The sequence below is a fragment of the Homo sapiens genome, chromosome 7 (assembly GCF_000001405.40).
Source record: "Homo sapiens chromosome 7, GRCh38.p14 Primary Assembly".
Lineage (NCBI taxonomy): Eukaryota > Metazoa > Chordata > Mammalia > Primates > Hominidae > Homo > Homo sapiens.
In genome coordinates this window covers 138,147,102-138,171,007 of record NC_000007.14, presented here as the reverse complement: position 1 = coordinate 138,171,007, position 23,906 = coordinate 138,147,102, and the positions used below count along the sequence as shown (strand labels likewise).

The following is a 23,906-nucleotide window of genomic DNA, read 5'->3' as shown; positions in this document are numbered from 1 at the left end:
ATGAGTCCTACTACTTTACTATTATTCTTAGTGAAATTTGTAGATGAACAGTGGCAAACATATATGTTCAATTGGAAACATTTTTGTCTTGCCTGATTCTTTTTTAACGACATAATTATCACCAGAAGGCAAATGTTCTCTAGCCGACTCTCAATTGCACTGAGAAAGAGAATGGCCAGCTCAGTATTTTGAATTTCATCAAGCTTCTTATTAAATACAAGTGTAACTTACATGTCTATCGGTACTGTCAGCCTGACGAAATCAAAGCTAATACTTTCTGATTTTCACAGAATTCTGTCATTATCTGGTGTTTCCTGAAGCCTGAAGCTCTCCTTTTATGATGTGTTTGATGGCTATGCTTGAGGGAGGCAGGATAGTTTTCAGGCAAAGGTGGCACTGTTATTAGGTGCTAGATGAAGGGTCTAAGAGAACCTCATAAATTCTTCAATAGAAAGCTGCTGGCTTATTCACATCTGCAGGGTCCCTGCTGCCTTTGTGTTTGGAATTTAAAACTATTCCCAAGGTATGTGTGAGCACTGTTCTTTGTTCACGTCCCCCTCCCCCACAGTATGGTGATCTTTCACAATCCATTATCTGTTTTCTTTTGATAGGATTTCTTTTTGGCGGGGGTATGATAACTTTGATTTTGCTTCTGTTCCATTTGTTCTGATTTCCTTGGTAATGCTTGCTTTCCTTTCATCTTTGTCATCTCTTCATTTTATATGTTTTATTTCAGTTGCAGTGAGTTTTGTCGTATTATTTCTCTTAGGAAAGTCTATTCTGGTTTAACAAAGAAAAGTAATGCTTTCCTTTACCTCACTGAGAATAAAGTGCATATATATTTTGCTACAAAAAAAAATCTATGCTTTATGGAGGAACTCTATTAGGGGTGGGGTGGGCTGGGCTGAGATTTTCGCTTGAGCCTTTACTACATTGCCCTTCTTTTGTTTGTAATAGGGAGTTAATTTTTTTAAAATCCTATGTCTTGTTTGTTTATTTTTGTTAAAATTATCTGATTTTTTTTTTTTAAACCAGAGGAGAGGAGTGCTGGTTTTAAGGTTGGTGACTTAAAACCTGATTGATTGTAAAGAGAAGTATCCAGAGACAATATTAAAATAAACTTGGCCCTGAAAATGTTGCTTTTTGGTTTCCATTTACTTTGGAGGTCTCCTGGAGCAGAGGAAAGATTACAGAATGGAGCGCCTCCACAGAGTCTTCTGTGGGAGTGTTAGTCATTCAGTATTTCTCAGTTGCCTTTGTAGATGCAAATTATCAGTTCAAATCATCTAAGCAAAGGAGAAAAAAAAAGACCTCTCCAAGTCTAATCTGAGAAGAAAATCTCCTCGGGAGTAAAGTCTCAGTTCAGAGAACAAAGGAAGAAAAGACCAAAGGATTATTTACCTTTGACTGCTTTGGGGGATTCCGAGGCCACCAAGCATACAAATGCAAAAGAAAGCTTAGGGCTAGACATTCCTTTCTCTACTCTTTCTTTCTTCTTCTTTTGTGCAATGCAATAGACAGACCTGCCCAGAGGCAAGGGAGCTAAGGAGTTTCTAAACTTGAGGTCGGGGGCAATGCAGTAGTAGTATTATAAAAGCCTTTGTTACTGATTAAGGTCAACAGGGTGAGAAAATACAGAAGCTAGAGAGAAATCTTTATGGGAATGCAATCTAAGGGTGCTACATTTGGGAAGATGACTAGTAATTTTTCCTCCTAGGAGAAAGAACAGGAGAGGTCTTTTCCTTTAGAAGATTCTGATAAGCCAACAAATAAGCCAAACTGAGAGAGGCAGCTTTCCCAACATCCAGCCTCCCCATGGGAATCACAGACTGTTGAGAAGAGGGTGTTTGTTATTCATAATGGCTGAGGCTAAGACAAAAGTGGATTTGGGCTCCCATAGCAATCCCCAGGCCTTAATCAAATGTTCTTTTTTTTTTTTTTTTTGAGACTGAGTCTCACTCTGTCACCCAGGCTGGAGTGCAGTGGCACAATCTTGGCTGACTGCAACCTCCACCTCCCAGATTCAAGCGATTCTCCTGCCTCAGCCTCCAGAGTAGCTGGGATTACAGACATGCACCACTACACCTGGCTAATTGTTATATTTTTAGTAGAGATGGGGTTTCACAATGTTGGCCAGGCTGTTCTTGAATTGCTGACCTCAGGCGATCCACCTGCCTTGGCCACCCAAAGCTTTGGGATTACAGGCTTGAGCCACCGTGCCGTCTCAAATGTTCCTCTCAAAGTCAAATAGTGAGTCTTACCTTTTATAATTACAGAAATACAGATGTTGCCACAAGTCAGACAGGGAAATACAAAACAATATCCCAGAGAAATCACCATGGGAAAAATGAAGGTGTCTGTACATTAGATTATCTTTACGTTTACTTTAAAATGCTTCAGCATGGATAGTGTGGTGTGATGTGTTCTAGTTGCTTTCATTCTTTACTTAGGAATAGTTAGTTGGGCATTTGAAGAGCCCTGACTGAAACTGGCTTTGCAAAAGTATGACAGAGAAATTGGACGTGGCTGACTGCATCTTGCTTCTAGCCTCACAGGCTGGCTGGCTTTGCTCATTCGTGGGTGTGGGCCAAGATAACTTTGGGAGAAACTTAGTTTATAGTTTAAATGATAATAACCTTCCCCCAAAACTAAACGATTCTTGTAAAACTAATGAAAGGCCATGAAGTTAGGAGGATGAGAGGGGCTTAAATTCTAAATAATTACCAGCCATTATTATGGAGGTCGTAAGATTTGCAACTTCCCCAATTACTCTTGCAGACAACATCACTATTGTAGAAACTAAGACTGGCCTTTTGAGATGTCTTTTCAGGTTTTTGCATTTCTGACAATGGATGGCCCCACCTGGACCTGCCAACCAGTCCTGTGGCCCCAACCCAGGAACTTACCCACCATAAGAGGGCAGCTTTGATTCCCTATGATTTCATCTCTGACCCAACCAATCAGTATGCCCCTACCTTAGGCCCCTGCTCATCAAAAGATCCTGGGAAAAACCCTAATCTTTGAGCCTTTGGGGAGATTGAGTTGAGTGATAACAGTCTCCTGTGTGGTGTGGCCAGCCTTGTGTCAATCAAACTCTTTTCTTTACTGCAATGGCATGGTCTCAGAGAGTTGATTTTGTGTGTGCAGCAGGCAAGGAGAACCCATCAGGGAGTTACATAATTTGGATATATGGGTGAAGGAAGTCCTCTCCTCCATTCTGAAGATTTGAGGCTGAAAGTCTGGGGAAATAAGCTGGCAATAGACAGATTAAAAGGAGAAAAAAATATATATATACATTTTATTAACATGCAGAAAGGCATCACATGGAAGTTAAGAAACTACCCAATAACTCAATGAGACCTAAAAGCTTTTATATTCCCTTCATAAGAGAGAGGGAAGGGGAGTATGTAGGCAACCTAGGGAGAGTAAATGATTATGAAAAGTACGAATCAGCCTTCAGAAGAATAGGTTATATCCTGTCTGTAGGAGGTGCTAACCTCCAGCTTTTTCTAGGTTTGACTTCTGTTGTGTGTTAATCTTCACGGATAGATAAAAATCCCCAGGAAGCATTTCTTGACAATTGGCTTCCTTCTGGAGAATCTGCACTTAGTCAGATAAGGGAAATTCAGGAAAAGCCCCTCTGTGCGTTTGGCATTTCCCAAATGACTTCAGTTTGAAGTAATCAGCATACCAATGCTGCATATTTTGGGGTGATATTTCTGAACTCTCTCAGGAAAAATATACTCCTGGATGGTAGGTTAATATTTGAAATTGTCAGTTCAGGCTTGGCTTGGTGGCTCACGCAGGTAATCCCGGGACTTTGTGAGGCCAAGGTGGGTGTGGATCACTTGAAGTCGGGAGTTCGAGACCAGCCTGGCCAACATGGCAAAACCCCGTCTCTACTAAAAATTCAAAAAAAGAATTAGCTAGGCATTGGGTTCATGTCTGTAATTTCAGCTACTTGGTGGGGGCTAAAGCAGGAGAATCGCTTGAAACTGGGAGGCAGAGGTTGCAGTGAGCCGGGATCGTGCCACTGCACTCCAGCCTCAGCAACAAAGTGAGGCTTCATCTCACACACAAAAAAAGAAATTCTCCATTCAGAAGCCACATTCCAGAAGGATTAGATTATGGCTCCAGTCGTCTTTATCTCATATCAATCCCAGGGGGTTTGTTAATTAGCATAAGGGATGTTAGAAATGATTTTTTACTGGTAAAATGAATTCAATTTTATGTGGATTGGATAAAAATGTCTTATGGATACTCTTGCCTTTGCATAAATGAGGTGTAAAAGTCCAGCTAGCCTGTCTATTCATTTTGAATTATGTCTCCAGGCTTGAAATTCTAGACTGTTTGAATTATCTCTCCAGGCTTGAAATTCTAGACTGTAGTGAGAGAATTTTTCACCTGACTCTCATTTGAGAGTTAGTTAATCCTGCTCCAAAGCTGGAACATGGTCCTCCTGTCTCTGACGCTCATAAGGTTCTGTGGGAACACTGAAAGGTCAGAGAGCTAAGACTTCATCAAGCTTATAAAACGGGTAGTATGACTATTTGGAGGGCCTGATTGCTAATACATATTTATACCCATGGCTGAATGAGGTCTGAAATTTGCTTTCATTATAACATACCATTTGGAATTGAAGTCTCTATGGTTGTCACCAAATTCTAATTACTGGAAGCTTTGGAGAGCTAATCATAAAGCAACTAATAAGGGTGTATGACCAAATTGGCTTAAGTATCTTGAAAACAGCATTGAAGCTACTTTTTTTTTTGAGATGGAGTTTTGCTGTTTCACCCAGGCTGGAGTAAAGTGGCACAATCTCAGCTCACTGCAACCTCCATCTGCTGGGTTCAAGCAATTCTCCTCAGCCTCCCAAGTAGCTGGGATTATAGGCACCCACCACCATGACCAGCTAATGTTTGTATTTTTAGTAAAGACAGGGTTTCACCATGTTGGCCAGGCTGGTCTCGAACTCCTGACCTCAGGTAATCCACCCCCTCCCCCGCCCTTGGCCTCCCAAAGTGCTAGGATTACAGGCATGAGCTACCGTGCCTGGCTGCAGCTACTTCTTTATATGATTCATGGCTTTTGGCCACAAATGCATGCAAGTAACTAGATGAATACGTATATTACTTGCATGTGCATTAAAATTATTTCTTCTTTTTCAAATTATTCCTTCTTTGCACCAGCTAGAATTTAAATATATCTACCTGATTCGGAGCATTTGGCAGAGATATTAGAGATGGAACAAGATCCAGAGAGGGTCTAATGAAATAATAATTGTGGTGGCACATGCCTGTAGTCCCAGCTACTTGGGAAGCTGAGTTTGGAGGATCACTTGAACCTGGGAGGCAGAGGTTGCAGTGAGCCCAGATTGCACCACTACACTCTAGCCTGGGTGACAGAGTGAGACCCTATCTCAAAAAAAAAAAAAAAAAAAAAAAAAAAAAAAAAAGAAAGAAGAAAGAAAAAACCTTAATAATAATTATATAATTATAATTATAGTAAAAGTAGCAAGTAGCTTTTTCCTTTTTGCAAAATTAATTCTACCTTTCAGCATGTACAAAAGTACATTCTAGAAAGATTAAAGAAATAGATATAAACACCATAAAAATCATGGAAGAAACACATAATATTTTAATCTTGGGGATAAGAAAATCATCTCAAGCAAGAAACACTTGAGAAAAAAATAATTTTTGCTCACTAATCTCTAGGTTCATGGCTGAGGCCCCTATAACAAAATACAGATTCACAAGAGAAAATCATACACATATTATTTATACGTGGTATGGAAGCCTTCATAAGGAAAGGAAGACCTCCCCCAAATGCATAAATTTGTATATTCTTTATGCTAGGTTTGATGAAGAAATATGATTGAACAAAGGGAGAATGATATCATTGAGAGAGGAAGGAGGAAGAAACCAGTCAGGCAGGCAGTTATGGTGGGTCCTTGGTTGAATCTTTTCAAACAAAAGAACAGCCAGAAAAATCAAGCTGCAGGCACAGATAAGGGAACTTGCACAGCGGCACTTGCCTAAGACATGCCCACAGCCACACAGATAAGAAAGCCTACACAGGTGACTTGCCCAGACATGCCCGTAATGGAAAATTCCATCCCCTGACACATGTGCAGTAAGGGCAACAAAGCAATACGGAGTAACTCAAGCTAAGGGCCTACATGTGCATTAGGAGGATGGGGTGGAGCTACCAGAAATTCGCATCTCATGCAAATGAGATGCCCAGCTCTAACTGGTTTCTTATAAAAGCCTTTGCATTCAACTGTAAAAATGGCAACCCTCTTTTGGGCCCCTTTCTGTGGTGGAGAACTTTCTTCTTTTGCTTATTAAACTTCCACTCCAACCTCACCCTTGGTGATCATGTTCCTTAATTGTCATGGTTGTGAGACCGAGAACTCAGGGTGATACCTCAAACGAGAGACTGCTACATTGCGGTGCGTTGGTGAGACTGTAACATAATGTTAATAAACTGGGGAGAACTTAGGAAGCCGTTTGTTCAAACTCTTCTCTTTGTCCTTGTATCTTCAGAAATGAGGATGTTGCTATCTTCTGGGTATAGGGAGGGCACCTCTCACATGAGGGTCATAAGACCTACTTGAGGGGATGGTCAGGAAATCCTTCCTAGGTTTTATGATCTGTTTCAGGGGAGTAGAGCATTGTGGGGGAGGTAGTGAGCGTGACCTTCCTGCTTCTGCTGTCTTCTCAAATGCCAAGTTTTCACATTTTGGGGTAGCATGTCCTGAATTCCTTCAACATGAAACCCAGAGTTAGAAAAAGAAAAGATTGAGCAACTTAATTAGATAAAAGCAAAATATTAAGCAATGACAAAAGATATCATTAAAAATGTTGTTAAAAGGGAAAAAAAAAGAGGAAAAAAAAGAAAACAAACAAAATGTTGTTAAAAAGCCACAGTTTGGCTGGGTGCAGTGGCTTGCACCTGTAATCCCAGCGCTTTGAGAAGCCAAGCAGGAGGATCTCTTCAGTCCAGGAGCTCAAGACCAGCCTGGGCAACACAGTGAGACACCTGTCTCTACAACCCCCCCATCCCACTTCCCAATGCACACAAACAACAATTTGGCAGAAAATATTTGCAATGTGTAAGAAAAAATCAGAAAATACTTACACTTGAGCTAATTAATTGATGACAGAGATGATGGTTCTTAATCATTGAGAACCTCATTGAGGGTTTGTCATCTATCTCAGTATCATAATTTTTCTCACACATAATGACATAATTTGAACATGTTTTCATATTATTAAGTATGTTTCTAGAACCATAATTCTTAATAGTCCCACAGAAATTCACTATGCTGAGTGTGGTGTTGAATGCTGGGGTCACCACAGTGGAGCAGCCCTGGAGGAGAATGAGCAGGGTGCTTTCATCAGTGACCCTCCTCTATCCTTTCCAGTCAGTGACACAGGCTCTTGTCAATCAACGGTGGACAATCATTTATAAAGTGTCCCAAATGATTAACTTGCATGGGTTACCTGTGTCTGCTGTTCCAGAACTGATTCAATTTCTTCAAATCCTTTTCTCCTCCTCCTCCTCCTTCTCTGCTTCCTCCTCCTCCTTCTCCTCTTCCTCCTCCTCCTCCTCTTCTTTCCCTTTTTTAAGCTAAAGATGGAAAAGAGAGGCAGGAGGAAAACATGTGGTAGTACGAAACCAGTAAATGTGTGAAAACTCCATGACTAATATTCTCAAATTATAAGCAGCTTTCTCAATGAATATATATCTATCAGTATCTATATCTATATATAGATAAAGATATAAAATTCCTCGTATTAATAGATATTTTTATAAAATAACCAGAAACTGGGTTTGACTGGAAGTTAAATGTAATACTTCCTTTCTGATACCCTTAAATAATACTTTAATTCACAGGGAATATCAAATGAAAACTGTTTTAATAGTAGTTTCTTATTTATAGATTTTGAAAAAGTTTTTTTCCTGTTAGAGCAAGCATATTGCAATTTATTTAACAATTAAATGAATTAAAATATTTTGTTTGAGAAGTTCATGATTTCAAATGATTCTAATAAAATGCTAAATGTTTTACATTTGTAACATAAGTGAAAAGCAATGAAATTGCTATAGGAAAATTAAAACACATTCTAAAATACAATGTTTCAATGTTTTCATAAGTTTATGACCTAGTAATAAGTTCTGATTAAGAAGTAGAAAGCCCTTAAATGTGGAAAGAGGAAAAAAAATCCATTCAAAGCCTCACAGTTTTTAATATTCATTGTATGTTTTCAGTCATTTTTCCAAGCAGAAGTTCTTCCCTTTCATCCTTCATTATTATTATGTTACATATACAATGTGAATTTTTCATTTTTCATGTGACATAATATAATGGGTTTTTAACAGAATTGTCATTCTATGAGAAGGATCTTTCATCTAAAGAATGCACATTTATGATATAGTCCCTGTAACAGCAAGCAAAAACACCAGGCTTAAATAGATGTGTTTATAAATGAGTCCCGCTTCAAGTCCAAAGCCTTTTTGGAATTTAGGGAAGTTTGGATAACATTACTCATTTTAGCTTTCTTCCCAGTAGCAAAGAAAATGGCTTTTGGCAGCTGGGTGTGTGATATAATGCCAATCACCAGGGGCAATGCCTGATGATTAACTTAGAAAATCTTATTACTTTTGACTGATAAAAATGGAAATGGCTAGTTTCCAATTTATAAATATTTGGTTTATTATTGCATGGCAGACACAAAACAAATTTTGTGAGAAGGTACTATTTATGTCAACTACATCCTCCCAATAGGTTGGTGAACAGATGTCTTCTGTCTATAGATCAGTGATATTTCTAGCAGACATCCCTTAGAGTACAGGCAAATCTCAGGGTCATTGTACCTACAACCAATTCAAGCACTGAGCTGGGCACTCATATTTGTTCTTAACCTTGGTCAGGAGAGGACTCACTCACTCCATCATTCATTTCCCTTCAGTGAAGTCTAGCCTCCCTAGAGAAAGCCTGCTGTGAAAGGTGTGGCCCTCTCAAGTATCAGTTTGCAGATGACTTTATGTTGACACAATAAATAATGCACAGAAAATAAAATGAATGCTACTGACCTGAAGTATTTATCTATCTCTGGCACCTGAATTCCCTGCCCAGAAGTAGGAACCCTGACTGTATGAAGAATGAACAGCACACAGCACCACCATTTCAAAGCAAAACCCCCAGCGTGCACAGAACACTGCTTTGGATAAAAGATGGCAGCTGCAGAGCTGGAAGGGTAGCTGGTTGCCATGGTAACCGAGGCTCTGATTCAGCCACCATATGCCACCTGGTGTTCTCAGCCTGAAAAAGCAGGTCTGGGTGTCCTAGATTGGCGATAGAGCTATGGCCATAGCTCTTTCGAATCAGTACTGGGTTTGAATGTGCAGAAATGTTTGCATTGTTTTATTCATCTATAGAAGATTTTGGGGCTGACACCCTCATTACTTAAGGTAGAGGTTCATCTGGGGAAAGGAAAGAGAAATACTTTTAAAACAATCATTCTAATTCTTCCATGGAAACACTGCTATATGGATATTCATTTTCAAAGATCCATCTTTTGTTCTCTTTTGTTCTCTTTTTGTTCTCTTTTCAGGGCAAATTTGTTATCCAAATCTGATAGGATTTCCAAATCCTATATGATATCCAAATCATATAATATTGCAACAGCAACTAACTCAAAATGCTGGGCACGATGATTGCAGAACATGATATATCAATTATCAGCCATCTCTGATCTTTAGAACATTTTGTCTTCTTCTAAAAGTGCTGTATGGCAAATAACAGTGGTATGACCTTATGTTAACGTTGAATTGTGTCCAATTTTTTGCTTATATATAAATAATATGTAAATTTATATATATTTAAATATGTATATATGACATTCTATAAAATTGCTAAATGGAAAGAAATCTGTTATAAATTTGTAATAATAAGGTAGAGATTGAACACCCATTTGAGACTCCTTGAGAGTATTCCACAGTGAATGGGTAGTTGTTACACAGTAGTGACTAAATATACAATATGCTATGTTACGATAATATAAGAATTTTGGCCTTTATTGTATGTTTTGTGAACTTCATGTTTGATTTTTATATTTATGATAAAAATATCAACTAGTGTTGGATATTGCTGGTGATTCAACTTTGAGATAAACATTTCAGGTTATCCTTTTCTCCAATTTCTACAGCTATTAAAAAGCTGATTACTGATTTTTTTTTTTTTTTTTTTTGAGACGGAGCCGCACTCTGTTGCCAGGCTGGAGTGCAGTGGTATGATCTCAGCTCACTGCAACCTCCACCTCCCGGGTTGAAGCGATTCTCCTGCTTCAGCCTCCCAAGTAGCTGGGACTACAGGCGTGCGCCACCACACCCAACTAATTTTTGTATTTTTAGTAGAGACAGGGTTTCACCATGTTGGCCAGGATGGTCTCGATCTCTCACCTGGTGTTCCGCCCATCTCAGCCTCCCAAAGTGCTGGGATTACAGGCGTGAACCACCGCGCCCGGCCTGATTACTGATTTTATATTAATAATCTGAGCTTGCAAAATTGTTATTTTGATGTCATTTTTACCACTGCTGGGGAAACAATTATCAACGTAGTAAATAAAATGGTTTTAAATATAAGAATAAAATAGCTTTTACTCTTTACAACTGTTCCTGAATATTGTCAGAATTTTTTAGTACTGTGCAATTAAAAAAAGAAAAAAAGAAAAAATTCGCCAGGCATGGTGGCATGCACTTGTAGTCCCAGCTACTTGGGGCCCAAAGTGAGAGGGTTACTTGAGCCCAGGAAGTCAAGGCTGCAGTAAGCTGAGATCGTGCCACTGCACTCCAGCCTGGGTGACAGAACAAGACTGTCTCTAAAAAATAAAAGGTTAGAAAAAAAAAAAAAAAAAGGCGAGGTGTGGTGACTCACACCCATAATCCCAGCACTTTGAGAGGCCAACGTGGGCTGATCACCTGAGGTCAGAAGTTTGAGACCAGCCTGGCCAACATGGTGAAACCCCATCGCTACTAATAATACAAAACTTAGCTGGGTGTGGTGGTGGGTGCCTGTAATCCCAGCTACTCGGGAGTCTGAGGCAGGAGACTCGCTTGAACCTGAGAGGCGGAGGTTGCAGTGAGCCGAGATCACACCATCGCACTCCAGCCTGGGTGACAAGAGCAAAACTCCATCTCAAAAAAATAAAATAAATAAATATAAATAAATAAATAAATAAATTTGCTCTAGAGATTGCTATAACATTCAGTATCATTTTTAATTTTGGTGTTCTTCAAAACAGCCTCATTCTAATTAACTGACTTTATGATAAGTTGTAAATATATAAATTTGAATTTAAAATATGCATTATGTCAATTGAGAATAGGTTTTTTTTTTCTTTATTATTGGGGTCCCAAATACAATTCTTTTTCTTTCAGAATGGGTTCTGTTGCTATAAAGTCTGAAAATCACTAGACTTGATCATGTCAGGGACGTAGTCAAATAACTTTTTTATTCTTATCTTTTGTCAAGACGAGGTCTCTCTGTGTTGCCCAGGGTGGTCTCAAAGTCCTGCGCTCAGGGCATCCTCCTGCCCTGGCCTCCCAAAGTGCTGGGATTATAGGCATGAGCCACTGCACCTGGCCTCAAATACCTTTTTGAAGATAATTGACCTAGTCTCAGTAGACAAATCAGTGCAGGGAATGTCAGGGACTCTGGCCTCCCTCTGTCCAGGTGGAAATACTATTAGCTGCCACTACACACATACAGAATTCACAGAATATGCATGAGATAGAATGAGCTGGCACATATAAAGAAACTTTGCCCTACAAGAGCAAAATCCTGCGATAGGCCAGGATCCTGTTAGGCCTTGAGAAGAGGATGCTGACTGGCAAGAGAAATCACATATGCTGGCGGAAGCAGCCTCAGGTGCAGCTTCGTTCTCCTGGAGAAAGATCTGCTTTGCTTCCTGCACACTTGCCTATTTTTTCTGTTTCTTCATTCCTGAATGCATCCTAGGGACTGTGACCTCCTCTGTCTTATTTTTTATATTTGTTTTGTTTGCTTGGTGATCTCCTGAATACACTCCTAGTTTTGTCCCCCTGACCTAACCACTTGACATTTGGCCCTTGGCTCTTTAATGATTAACTCACCCATGATTACCAAAAATACTATTATTCCTACTACCTGAACCACAGCTGCTCCTCTTCTCACATCTCTATCATTTATTGAGCCTCTACTATGAGGGAGGTACTATGCCAGCTGCTTTGCTCTGATTTTCCCGATTTTTACAGAAACTCTTTGAGGTAGATATTATTCCCATTTTACCAGGGGGAAAGCTGAAGCTCAGAGACAGAGAGGTAAATTCAGTAGCGCAAAAGGTCACATGGTCGATGAATTTTAGAACACATTCAAATCCAAGTTGGCCTGTGTAAAAGACGCCACATTCTTTTTCTTTTTCTTTTTTTTTAAGTTAGTTCCTGCAAGCAGAATTTTGTTTTCTCTTTCTGCCTGCCGGACTTGGTCTGCATAGGTGCTAGCCACATTCTGGCATGAGGTTGCTTCTAGAATCTACCCAAGCTCTGAATGCCATCCCGTTTTAAGATGAAGTGTTTTTAGTCTGAAAATAACCAGAGACCCTGATATAAAATTTGTATTTACAGCTTTTAAATAGAATGGCTCTGTGTGTGTGTGTGTGTGTGTGTGTGTGTATGTATGTTTATATGTATGTATAATTAATGTCAAGTGGAATTTCAATATGTGTAGGATAACTCTTTATAGCATGGTTTCAAATCATTTCATCTGGGGAGATGAGAAAGAAAGAGTGAGTGCCTAGTGTATTTAGGAACTGCAGGTCCTGTGATAACAGAGCAAACGTAACAATATTAAACTGCATTCCAGGGAACACTTTAGAATTTGTTGTATAGGTACAATGTTGCACTCAACTTTTTTCACTTAACATTATACTATATGCATCTTTTCCATGTTTTAATTTTTATAGTTTTTGGGTTTTTTTGTTTGTTTGTTTGTTTTTTGAGATAGGGTCTAACTCCATTGCCCAGGCTGGAGTGCAGTGGCACAATCTCGGTTCATGGCAGCCTCCACCTCCTGGGCTCAAACAATCCTCCCACCCCAGCCTCCCGAGTAGCTGGGACTATAGGTGAGCACTACCACACCTGGCAAATTTTTAGTAGAGATGGGATTTTGCCATGTTGGCCAAGCTGATCTCTAACTCCCGGCCTCAAGTGATCCAGCCACCTCGGTCTCCCAAAGTGCTGGGATTACAGTCATGAACCACTGTGCCTGGCCTTAATCTTTATAGTTATAATTTCTAATTGTAATCATATAATTTCTGTGTTTCACTGCGACGATTTATCATAATTTTTTTTTCTTGAGCATTGAATAGCTTCCTAAGGTGTTATCTGCCTTCCCTCCCAAGAACATTTAAACTAAATGGGCAATAAGATTTTTTAAATGCCAACTTTATCAAGATATAATTCATATGATATACAAATCACCCATTTAAGGTGTACAATTCAATGATTTTTAGTTGCACAGAGTTGTGTGGCCATCATCATTATACATTTTAGAACATTTTAATCGCTTCTCAAACTCATACTAATTAGCAGTCACTCCCTGTTTCCCTGAATCTCTCTACACTAGGCTACCACTAATCTACTTTCTGTCTTTATGGATTTGCCTGTTCTGAATATTTCATGTTAATGGAATCATACAATGTGTAGTCTTTGTGACTGGTGTCTTAGCATAATGTTTTCAAGGTTCATCTATATTGTAGTATGCACCCAACTTTATTCCTTTTTATGGCTAATTAATATTTTATTGTATGACTATACCATATTTTGTTTATCCATTTATCCATCTAGGGACACTTGGGTTGTGTTATGGTCTCTGTGTACCTGTTCTTCCATTCACACACAGGCAGCAAGGCATGTAGCTGTGTTGCTTCTCTGTCTCCTGGTGATAAACCCACACAATATTCCACAAAAATGAACAATTGAAATAGGGACTTGGTCGGTAAAGATGAATGCAGAAAAAAAAAAAACCCAATGAATGATAATGCTAGATGTGAAATTTGAGTCCAACATAAATGGAGTTATAGATGAAATTGTTGACAGAATGTTGAATGCCTGACTACACAGGCAGTCAGGGGCATTTGGTGAAGGTGACTTTATTGACAAATTGAAGAAAAATATTTATAAGAAAAAGGATGAAGATCTTCCAGAGGAAGTGACAGCAGCAAAAAAACTTTGCATTAAAGGAATTCTCAGAGATATTTTATGACATTGAAAGCATGAAGGATAAAATGTTGGTGTCTGATTCAAACTTAGAAAAGAGTATGACAGTTCTTCAAAGCATAGAAAAGATGTTTGTATTGTATCATAAATTATATGAGAAAAAGGCAAAAACTTTTCAGACTACTCTTGATATATTTTTTACAAGGAAATAAAGCAGTTTAATTTTCAATGTTTCTAAAATTTTATAGTATGCTGATTAAATATTAGTTGTACTTTTTTCCCATTTCACTATACATTTATAATCAAGAAAAAGAAAGTTTTTAATGTTTCAACAAAAATTTAAACATCACAGACAGTTGTAACTTTCCCCATTGATTATTATGACTGTTTTGCATGGTTTTAGCTTGCAGCCTTTTTTTTTGCAGTCCCACACTATCATGCAAAGGGATGATTGCCTGTAGTTTATATAATGTTGCTTATTGGTATAAATTTATGTACATTTATCTTATTTAACATAATTTAATTTTTAAATTTTTTTTGTGTGTGTGTAGAGGTGGGGTCTCACTATGTTGCCAGAGCTGGTCTCAAACTCTTGACCTCAAGAGATCCTCCTGCCTTGGCCTCCCAAAGTGCTGGGATTACAAGCATGAGCCACTGTGCCTAGTCAATTTAAAATTATTAACCCTTTTCTTATCAAATTTTTTGTTTGTTTGTTTTTGAGACGGAGTCTTGCTCTGTCGCCGAGGCTGGAGTGCAGTGGCGCAGTCTCGGCTCACTGCAAGCTCCGCCTCCCAGGTTCACGCCATTCTCCTGCCTCAGCCTCCTGAGTAGCTGGGACTACAGGCGCCTGCCACCACGCGCAGCTAATTTTTTGTATTTTTAGTAGAGACGGGGTTTCACTGTGTTAGCCAAGATGGTCTCGATCTCCTGACCTCGTGATCCGCCCGCCTCGGCCTCCCAAAGTGCTGGGATTACAGGCGTGAGCCACCGCGCCCGGCCTTTCTTATCAAATTTTAAGCTCCTATGTTGTGCCTGGCCCATAGAACCTGCTTAATTTTATATATATATCATTTTTCCCCTGAATACCTCCTTTCATTATGTTTATATTTGGTTTTTTTTTTTTTTTTTTTTTTTTGAGACGGAGTCTCGCTCTGTCGCCCAGGCTGGAGTGCAGTGGCGGGATCTCGGCTCACTGCAAGCTCCGCCTCCCGGGTTCACGCCATTCTCCTGCCTCAGCCTCCCAAGTAGCTGGGACTACAGGCGCCCGCCACTACGCCCGGCTAATTTTTTGTATTTTTAGTAGAGACGGGGTTTCACCGTTTTAGCCGGGATGGTCTCGATCTCCTGACCTCGTGATCTGCCATATTTGTTTATATTTGCTTCTGGATACAGCCTTGACCTTATACATCAGTAAAGTAAATTTTTAACATTTTTCCAATTTTTAAACAATACTGTAAACATTCTGCTCACTGTGTGTGTGTAAAATAAAATAAGAATAGTTTGAATCTAAATTTCCTTTTTTTTCCCCTGATACTCTGGTCAACTAAAGAAAAATCAGACTTTTAAAGAATTAAAGTTACAGTTTTATTTAGAGTTACTGAGCATTGCAATGTGGGAGAGTCTTTCAGAGTTTCAGTTAGACTGCTCAAAGCTGTATTTCAGTCCACAGTTTATATAGCAAGTGGTAGAGGTTCTGCATGTGCTCATGAGTGAAGTCAAATGTGCTCAGAAGTTACATTAGGGCAACATCTCAGCAAAGTTTGGGTGCAAGAGTACATCTGGTTATAGATGACAGAGGCAGAATCATTAATCCTGTCAGATGTTATCTTATGAACAGGCAAGTGCCAGGATTATTGAACTTATCTTTTCTCAAAATGCAGTGATTCAGGCAAGAGACGTGGGAACCTATGCTCTGTCCTGCTTATTGTCTCCAAGGTATTCTTCTGGAGGGCTGCACATAGTCACGGAGTCAGGGGTTTATGAAATGTTGCAGACACGCAGGATGAGCAAACATGGGCTGACCACATGACAAGGGCTGACTATGTGGCTGGCCAGAGGCAGACATTTCCTTGATTAGTTCTAATTGTTTGGCCTTTGGTTTTTAAATTTAGACCTTTAATTCATCTGAAAATATTTTTGCATCTGCCGTACAATATAGTCATAACTTTATTTTTTATTTTATTTTATTTATTTTGAGACAGAGTCTTGCTCTGTTGCCCAGGCTGGAGTGCAGTGGCGTGATCTGGGCTCACTGCAACCTTCACCTCCCAGGTTCAAGCCATCCATGCCTAAGCCTCCCGAGTAGCTGGGATATAGGTGCGCACCACCAAGCCAGGCTATTTTTTTTTGTATTTTTAGTAGAGACAGGGTTTCACCATGTTGCCAAGGCTGGTCTCAAACTCCTGGCCTCAGGTGATCCACCCGCCATGGCCTCCTAAAGTGCTGGGATTACAGGTGGGAGCCACTGCACCCAGCCTACTTTATATATTTTTTTAAATGGCGATCCAGTTGTCCCAATGCCATTTTCATTCAAGGGGCCATCCTTTCCTCACTGACTGTAAGTGCCCCAATTATCATACATTTCTTTCCCATTTGTACATGGGTCTATTTCCAACTCTGGAAGGACTCTGGAAGGAAAACAATGACCAATCACCTATCACTGTCTGATAATTGAAAATTCAAGATACTGAGATTTAAAAAAAGAAACTATTATATATAAAAAGGCAATTTAGAATGACCTCTAGCTACAAGGTGAATAGTAAAAGATCAATAGCTTTTCTTTATAATGACATCCCCGTTAGAAATAGAAATTTAAAAAATTTACAGCAGCAACAAATCTATAAATTACCCAAAGCTAAATTAAGCAAGAAAGGCAGAACACTTATGTGAGGAAAACTGTGCAATTTTACTGAAGGACATAAAACAAGAGCTGAACACAGATACATACCATGTTTCTAGATGGAAAGATTTACTATGAAAAAGCTGTTCACGTTTCTCAAAATAATGTATTAATTCTATGCAATTCCAAAGAGAATCCCCATGCAGCATTTGGGAGGGGATCTTGAAAAGTTTCCATTTTCGTCTTAAGGGATAAAAAGTGGTAATTATACCAACAATGTTTTGAAAAAGAATAATAGTGAGGGAGGACCTAATAGATACTAAACTATATTCTAAAGCAACACTAATTAGTATTTTTGGTAGGGGAATGTGTCAAATATATCAGAGGAATCAAAATAACCCAGAAATAGACCTATGTACAAATGGGAGTGAAATGTATGATAAATGGGCCATTTACAATCAGTGAGGAAAGGATGGCCCCTTGAGTAAAAATGGTATTGGGGCCGGGCACGTGGCTCATGCCTGTGATCCCAGCACTTCGGGAGGGTGAGGTGGGTGGATCACCTGAGGTCAGGAGTTTGAGACCAGCCTGGCCAACATGGCGAAACCCTGTCTCTACTGAAAATACAAAAATTAGCTGGGCATGGTGGCGCGTGCCTGTAATCCCAGCTACTTGGGAGGCTGAGACAGGAGAATCGCTTGAACCCGGGAGGTGGAGGGTGCAGTGAGGTGAGATCACGCCACTGCACTCCAGCCTGGGCAACAAGAGCGAAATTCTGTCTCAAAAGAAAAAAAAATGGCATTGGGACAGCTGGATCTCTATTTAAAAAATATAGTTATGACTATATTGCATAGCAGATGCAAAAATATTTTCAGATGAATTAAGGGTCTAAATTTAAAAACAAAAAGCCAAACAATTAGAACTAATCAGAAAAAATAGAGGCCATATATATATAATTTTAGAATAGCATAGAAAAGCCAGAATGTCTAAAAAAAGCCTCTAACAGATCTGACTAGATAATATTTTATTATGTATATATATTTCTTGGTTGGACTTCATGTACAGAGGGCTGAGTTAATCATATGCTTTAGTTTATGTCACATTATTATTATTATTTTGGTACTTTTGGCATTTTAATTTTATTTTTAGAGACAGTGTCTCACCCCATTACCCAGGCTGGAGTGCAGTGGTGCGATCATATCTCACTGCAGCCTTGAACACCTGGACTCAAGGGATCCTCCTACCTCAGCCTCCTGAGTAGCTGGGACTACAGGTGTGTGCCAGCACACCCAGCTAACTTAAAAAAAAATTTTGTTGTTGAGGTTTCACTACATTTTCCTAGCTGGTCTTGAGTTCCTGGCCTCAAGTGATCCTCCTGCCTCAGCCTCCCAAAAGTGCTGGGATTACAAGTGGGATTACTTTTGGGTTAAGTAAATATTTTTGTGATCCCATGTATCTCCACTATTGATTTATTAGCTATACTTGTTTTTTGAAAAAAATGACTGTGGTTAGGTACAATGACTCACGCCTGTAATCTCAGTTCTTTGGGAGCCAAAGCAGGAAGATTGTTTGAGCCCAGGAGTTTGAGACCAGCCTGGGAAACATAGTAAGACCTCTTGTCTACCAAAAAAAAAAAATTAGTTAGGTGTGGTGGAACGTGCCTCAGGAGATGAGGTGGGAGGATTGTTTGAGCCCAGAGGTCAAGGCTATAGTGAGTTGTGATCATTCCACTGCACTAAAAGATTGTTCCAGAGTTTCCCCTGTGCATATTTAACTTAAAACAGGCTATCATCAAACAACTTCACATTCATTGTTAAAAATCTTATTGCAATATACTTCTACTTCTCCATTTGGAAAGCTAGTTGGCAGCTAGTAGAGGGGTCAGCCTGGACATTTTGTCCTTGAGAAGGCTGACCTGTAGTCAGAATTTCATAAGTTTGTGGCTTTTCCAGATGGCTTTGGGAATTTTACTCGTGGTGTGCATGCCATGTGGTCTCTAGTATAACGTCTGTCAGGTCCTTCTGTGAGCATCTCTTCCTCAGCTGGGCCAGGGCTGTGCTACTTTCCTCATAGGAATTTCTCAATTCCTCCATTTTGGTCAAACAAGCTCCAAGTGGAACAGGTTTGGCCATGAGGAGTCAGTCTCTTCCTTTTTTTTTTTTTTTTTTTTTTTTGAGACAGAGTCTCACTCTGTCTCCCAGGCTGGAGTGCAGCGGCATGATCTTGGCTCACTGCAAGCTCCATCTCCCAGGTTCAAGCAGTTCTCCTACCTCAGCCTCCTGAGTAACTGGGACTACAGGCGCCTGCCACCACGCCTGGCTAATTTTTGTATTCTTAGTAGAGACGGGGTTTCGCCATGTTGGCCAGGCTGGTCTCAAACTCCTGACCTCAAGTGATCTGCCCGCCTTGGCCTCCCAAAGTGCTGACATTACAGGTGTGAGCCACTGCACCCGGCCTAGTCTCTTCTTGACACAGCCTTGACACAGTTTCATCAATTGTCAATTTTATCAATTGTCAATGGTGTGTGTAGCAACATGTTAGCACCTGGCTCTTAGGCAATGGAGGAGGGAGCAAATATTATGAGAAACATTGGGAATTTATGGCTTATCAAAGAGAGTAGTTTCCCCAAGTTTAGTTCAATAAGCTGCTGTGTGTGTGTGTGTCTGTGTGTGTGTGTCTTAATTGAGTATTTTAACTGTTATTTGGTTGATCAGAGGTAAATTATGGGTCATACATTCTGGTTTTGAAACATCTTGCCACAGTAGAATCTTTCTTAGAAACCAGTGAAATTCAGCATCTTAGCTCCCTTTTGACAACCTTTGACATCAGGCTTTATTTTAAATACTTCAAAAGTCTAGAAAACAAATTCAACAGTTGGGAATGGATAGTGGTTCAGATGCCAGAAGGATTAGCATGAAAGGAAAAATGGAAAAAAAAAGAAGATGCAATAAATAGTAAGACCTGAGTTCAAGTGTAAATCCCTTACCCTGATCATAAATCTTGATTCAAAGACCTTGGCAGGACTTTGTCTACACTGGATGTCATCTTGAGTCACACGATCTTAAATCACAGAATTCACAGATGTTGTCTGCATTGGCAGTGGTCTGTTTCTGGGGCTTTTAAGTGGGTTCCAGGGTCAGATTTCCAGCAAGTTTGTATGTGAAAGTTACATAACTTTTTTCTTTTTATCATTTTCTTCCAGACTAACCTCTTGGTAGATACGAGGTTGTAGAATCTTAAGTTCTTCTCCTCTTCCTCCTCCCCGCCTTCCTCTTCCTCCTCCTTCTCTTCTTCTTATAAAATATATATAACATGAAATTTATTGTTTTTTTTGTTTTGTTTTGAGACAAAGTCTTGCTCTGTCGCCAGGCTGGAGTGTAGTGATGTGATCTCAGCTCACCGCAACCTCCACCTCCCAGATTCAAGCGATTTTCCTGCCTCAGCCTCCTGAGTAGCTGGGACTATAGACATGCGCCACGATGCCCAGCTAATTTTTGTATTTTTAGCAGAGACGGGGTTTCACCATGTTGGCCAGGATGGTCTTGATCTCTTCACCTTGTGATCTGCCCGCCTCAGCCTCCCAAAGTGCTGGGATTACAGGCGTGAGCCACCACACCTGGCCGAAATTTATTGTTTTAACCTTTTTTCAGCATAAGTTCAGTGGCATTAAGTACATTCACATTGTTGTGCAACCATATCACCATTCATTTCTAGAACATTTTCATCTTCCCCAACTGAAACATCATACCCATTGAACAATAACTCTCATTCCTTCTTCCCTCCAGTCCTTGGCAACCAACATTTTACTTCCTGTTTCTACGAATTTGACTGCCCTAGGAACCTCCAATCAGTAGAATCCTATAGTGTTTGCCTTTTTGGGACTGGTTTATTTCACTTATTGTACTGTCTTCAAGGTTCATCCAGATTGAAGTCTTCTCACATATAATTAAGTATATATGAGTTAAATAATATGATAACCAATGAGGTCAGAATGTACAAGGCAGAATCTTTCAGTACAAGTCTTAAGCAAAATCTTCAGGGAATTTTAGTAACAATTTCATATAGGGAGGGTTTATAGAGATAGGGTAAAGCTCTCCTTATCATTCAGGCTCGTGGTAACACTTTCAGCCAAGGAAAAGTAAGCTCCTTTAAAAGCTGGCAGTATTGACTTTAAAATATCATTAGCTTACCTTTTTCGTAGAGCTTTAAGGATAATGTGGACAAAATGTTTCAAATTAATGTGAATACTTTGCATACATTAAAAAAATTTTTGCTGGTAAAGTGAGCTTTCATTATTATTGATGATTGAAGATATTTCCAGACAGGAAAATAAAATCTGTATGTCTTTGTATCAGCCTGTTAGTCTTTGGCAAGGGGTTGTTTCAATTTGGCCAGAGTATTTTTTAAAATAAATAATTATTAAGGATGGGAGTGGTGACTCATGCCTGTAATCCCAGCACTTTCGGAGACGGAGGTGGGAAGATCTCTTGAGGACAGGAGTTTGAGACCAGCCTGGCCAACATGGCAAAATCCCATCTCTACTAAAAATACAAAAATTAGCCAGGTGTAGGAGCACACACCTGTAGTCCCAGCTACTTGGAAGGCTGAGGCAGGAGAATCGCTTGAACCTGGGAGGTGGAGGTTGCAGTGAGCCGAGACAGTGCTACTGCACTCCAGCCTGGGTGACAGAGTGAGAGTCTGTCTAAAAGAAACAACAACAACAAAACACCAACAGTTAATACATATTGAGTGCTTACACGCATTGTCTCAGTCCTCTCAAGAGCCTTATGAAGTATTAGACACTGCACCTGGCCTATTCTGTAATTTTTGTAAAAATATGAGACAAATATAAATTAAAATGATGTTTAGTGACCAGTGTTTTATATCTTTATCTTAAAAATTTTCCAGGGGCCGGGGGCAGTGGCTCGTGCCTGTAATCCCAGCACTTTGGGAGGCCAAGGGGGATGGATCGCTTGAGGCCAAGAGTTCAAGACCAGCCTGGCCAACATGGCAAAAACCCATTTCTACTAAAATACAAAAATTAGCTGGGTGTGGTGGTGCGGGTCTATAGTCCTGGCTACTCGGGAGGCTGAGGCAGGAGAATCGCTTGAACCCAGGAGGCAGAGGTTGCAGTGAGCTGAGATCATGCCACTGCACTCCAGTCTGGGCAACAGCGAGACTCTGTATGAAAAAAAAAATTCAGGTATATGAAGATACTTCACAGTTAATTTAATATCAGCTTAAGGTCTAAAAACTAAGGACTTGGAAATTACAATCTATGCTGACACATTAAATCTGTATGATTTAAAGCCTTGTAATAATCCCTTTGATAAAGAATTATGTATTATAATTTAGTTTGACACATAATTTTAATATTTTATAATCTCATCTGAATTAGCTTATTTGACGAGTAAAATCAGTAGAGGAAATTCATAAAACTCAAATTAATTAGGCTTTATATTAGAAAATAAACCCAAGACTTGTTAAAATAAGAAATTATGGTAAATAATTTTATACTGGTAAAATCTGAGAAAAGACAGCTATTTCTAAGCTAAAAGTATTAAGCCAGTTTAATTGAATAACGAATCCTCGATTAGGATTATTATATAAAACTTTTCCCATTATAACTATATATTAGTTATGATAATTTTTAAGTTGTTTAGACAATTTGGCTCATGCCTGTAGTCCCAGCATTTTGGGAGGCTGAGGCAGGAGAATTTCTTGAGGCCAGGAGTTTGAGGCCAGCCTGGGCAACATAGTGACATCTCTATTAAAAAAATTGTTGCTGTTATCGCATTTCCTAGTAATCAAGGCCATTGGTTAAACTTACAGGTAACTTCTTAAAAACATTTTTTTCTGTTACCACCTTAGCAAGATTTTTTTTTTCTGAGATACCTTTAAAGTACAAAAAGAAAGAAAAAAACTCTAGAAATCTTTGAGTTCCTCTTCATATTTATATTAACATTTGATATATTAACACCATGTCTATTGGATAATTGGAATAATAACTTGCTTCATTAAATTTAAAAAAATCTTACAATCTGGTTTATTAATTTTCATAGAGGTAGATAAGGTATATATGTTTGCTTAAAAAACTATAAAATGGAACATTTTACCAACTCTTGTGCAAGCTGGAATTGCAATGGCTATGAAGCAGAGACTAACGTGGAAGCAGAGGTGTCAGGATCTATGAGGAATATCGATCAGTTAAAGTAGGGGTCCCCAGCCCTGGGGCCACGGACCGGTATTGGTTAGGAACTGGGCTGCACAGGAGTGAAGCGTCATCTGTATTTACAGTTGTTCCCTATGGCTCCCACTACCGCCTGAACTCCGCCTCTTGTCAGATCAGCAGTAGCATTAGATTCTCATAGGAGCACGAACCCTGTTGTGAACTGCACATTCAAGAGATCTCTGTTGCATGCTCCTTATGAGAATCTAATGCCTGAGGATCTGTCACTGCCTCCCATTGTGTCGGGAGTTGGTGGGTTCTTGGTCTCACTGACTTCAAGAATGAAGCCGCGGACCCTCGCGGTGAGTGTTACAGTTCTTAAAGGCAGTGTATCCGGAGTTTGTTCCTTTTGATGTTCGGATGTGTTCGGAGTTTATTCCTTCTGGTGGGTTCGTGGTTTCGCTGGCTCAGGAGTGAAGCTGCCGACCTTCGTGGTGAGTGTTACACCTCTTAAGGCGGCGCATCTGGAGTTGTTTGTTCCTCCCGGTGGGTTTGTGGTCTCGCTGGCTTCAGGAGTGAAGCTGCAGATCTTCGCGGTGAGTGTTACAGCTCATAAAGGCAGTGTGGACCCAAAGA

At 39.7% G+C, this 23,906-nt stretch overlaps 1 long non-coding RNA gene across 1 annotated transcript, besides 3 other annotated features; it reads right to left on the bottom strand.

Moving 5' to 3' along the window:
* Nucleotides 212-887: an enhancer, noted in NCBI's record as "OCT4-NANOG-H3K27ac hESC enhancer chr7:137854867-137855542 (GRCh37/hg19 assembly coordinates)". NCBI's record gives its function as "activates a minimal SCP1, AML or CMV promoter by ChIP-STARR-seq in naive H9 embryonic stem cells {active_cell/tissue: H9 hESC(naive)}" and the evidence as "EXISTENCE:reporter gene assay evidence [ECO:0000049][PMID:30033119]".
* Nucleotides 969-1,839: an enhancer, noted in NCBI's record as "OCT4-NANOG-H3K27ac hESC enhancer chr7:137853915-137854785 (GRCh37/hg19 assembly coordinates)". NCBI's record gives its function as "activates a minimal SCP1, AML or CMV promoter by ChIP-STARR-seq in naive H9 embryonic stem cells {active_cell/tissue: H9 hESC(naive)}" and the evidence as "EXISTENCE:reporter gene assay evidence [ECO:0000049][PMID:30033119]".
* LOC107986749 (uncharacterized) lies at nt 5,523-9,235 on the bottom strand. The gene is made up of 3 exons (XR_001745033.3): nt 9,100-9,235; nt 7,506-7,632; nt 5,523-6,764 (listed from the first exon to the last, which is right to left on the bottom strand). It is a non-coding gene; the product is annotated as an uncharacterized LOC107986749 (long non-coding RNA).
* Nucleotides 5,994-7,193: an enhancer, noted in NCBI's record as "MED14-independent group 3 enhancer chr7:137848561-137849760 (GRCh37/hg19 assembly coordinates)". NCBI's record gives its function as "activates an origin of replication core promoter dependent on BRD2, BRD4, P300/CBP and CDK7 cofactors, and independent of MED14, by STARR-seq in HCT116 cells {active_cell/tissue: HCT116}" and the evidence as "EXISTENCE:reporter gene assay evidence [ECO:0000049][PMID:35650434]".
* Nucleotides 9,236-23,906: the final 14,671 nt, after the last annotated feature.